The sequence below is a fragment of the Homo sapiens genome, chromosome 15 (genome assembly GCF_000001405.40).
Source record: "Homo sapiens chromosome 15, GRCh38.p14 Primary Assembly".
Taxonomy (NCBI): domain Eukaryota; kingdom Metazoa; phylum Chordata; class Mammalia; order Primates; family Hominidae; genus Homo; species Homo sapiens.
In genome coordinates, this window is record NC_000015.10 from 97,167,679 (window position 1) to 97,169,787 (window position 2,109).

The following is a 2,109-nucleotide window of genomic DNA, read 5'->3' on the forward strand; positions in this document are numbered from 1 at the left end:
GGACAACACTCTTTGTAGTGGCCAGAATTTGGCTACTACCCACATGCCCAAAACATGAGACTGGATAAATATTCACACAAAAGACACTGTCAGAAGGAGAATGAACCATCCACACTTATATTCAATATGTGTGAATCTTATAAGCATGATGGCGTGTGCAGGAAGTCAGACACAAAAGAACACATACTGTATGATTCCACTGAAGTTCAAAAGCAGACAAAACCAATCTGTGCTGTCTGACGTCAAGGCAGAGGCCTAACTTTGGTGATAGAGACGGGGCAGAAAGGTGATTTCTAGAGTGCTCGTGCAGCTCTCTTTCTGAATCTGGGTATGTGTAGTTTATAGACGCATGCAACGTGCTTTTCTGTATGTATCTCATATTTCAAAGTTAAACAAGACAAAAGCAAAAGCGAATAAAGATTCCTTCCCTATCTTGCTCTATCACCCTTTGAAATAACATTCTGCATATCTATTTTACATAACTGTAAAGAAAACGAAAATCTAGTCTCAAAGGCACAATGCGTCTCATTAGACTGACACATTCAGAAAGCAGGAATACACTTTCAGAAATGAAAATTCTAGTCAAAGACAATATATTTGATAGTGTTCATCATTATGATGGTGACATATCATTATAATGTAAGGGATAAACAGGCATAAGTATTATAATGCATGTGATATTTACTTACTTTTGATAAATTCAAGTTTCGAGTGGTCGAACGTTGTTTGTTCTTCCTATTAGGGGTGTCTTATCGGCTGTGTCATGTTTTTCTAACCCGAGGTTGCTGATTTCTGTTGCTGGACACATGTGAGGGCCACAGGGAAAGAGGCCTGACAAGCATTCCTGCAGATAGTGCCTGGTTCCCTAGCAAGAGTGCTTGGAAATTTTTCAATGTTTCCTCTCTCTTTTGTGAAGCAACATAAAGCAGTTCTTTTAAAATAAGTCCAGATTTCTTTGTGATTGGTGTGACCATCACAGGTGAGTTTGTCAAGGCCAGTATCCTTTGCCCTCCTGGGAAAAGGACTGCAGGCCACCAGTGCGTGAGGGTCCTGCAACCCTGGGGCTAACAGAGAGGCAGCATAGCCTAGGGAAAGCGGCAGAGGACAGGGCAAAAGGACTAGGAGGGCACGAAGGCTTGGTTCAATTAAACCAAGTAGCCGCTATACCCTCTATCCCTTCACCAGCACCAGTAAGGGAAATGATCCTGACCCTCTGCAGAACACCACAACGACTCTAGGTGGATGCTTAACTGGTGGCTGCACTGGCCTGTGCCACCCATTTCAATCTGGGCTAAACTTTTTATCTATCCCTCTCTCCTTGTGCCAGTCTTCCCAATGTTTCTCGACATCACATTAACTCCCCTCCCAGTACAATAATCGACTCCAATCTGCTATTATCATGGAAATAGAAGAGGTAAAGTGCCTGTAATAGGATCCAAATCAAATCACTTTCACTTCAGCCGGCTTTTGCTGTGAAGCCAAGGATTCCCCAGGGAGATTCAATAGAGAGAAACACCTGCAGACACAGGCTGAGGCCCAGAGAGGAGATGGAACACGACAGGCTCCACTTGCCTGTAGCATCTCCTTAGTTACAAGACAGTCACCTCAGGAGTAATGACCTCAGGCAGGCTCTGATAAACTTGTGACTCAAAGGCAAAGCCAGGATCTGACTCTCACTCTGTTGGACGCATCCGGAAGCAACACGTTGGTTTACAAATCACAGCACTGGGGCTGTGGTTAAGTGTCCTTCCCTGAAATATGTGCTTTCAATGGGGTTGCTTTTGCATGAATTGCTGCTTGTTCTTTGAGCAGCCTACCCTCAAGGAAAAAATTACATGTATGTATCACTTGCTCTTAAGAAATAAGCAAGGCCAGAACAAATGGAATTAAACATAATTGAGACCTGGCAGCGGGTAAGGTAAGAAAAGCCCAGCAACATTGTCCCTTGGACGTTTCAAATACTGAAATCCCTCCACTTTTCCTTCCATTGCATTTCCCAGATGGTTACAGGTTGAAGTGCTTCAGAGTGAAGCCTTTTCTTCTATACGCAAGTCTATCAGTCCACATCTATTTTGTTGACTCTCCTGATGCATATTTCTAGTTAAGTAG

The 2,109-nt window shown here is 43.3% G+C and overlaps 1 annotated feature.

Annotated features, from left to right (window-relative positions):
- Nucleotides 1,588-1,788: a silencer, noted in NCBI's record as "peak2437 fragment used in MPRA reporter construct". NCBI's record gives its function as "represses an SCP1 promoter by STARR-seq MPRAs in K562 erythroleukemia cells {active_cell/tissue: K562}" and the evidence as "EXISTENCE:reporter gene assay evidence [ECO:0000049][PMID:32103011]".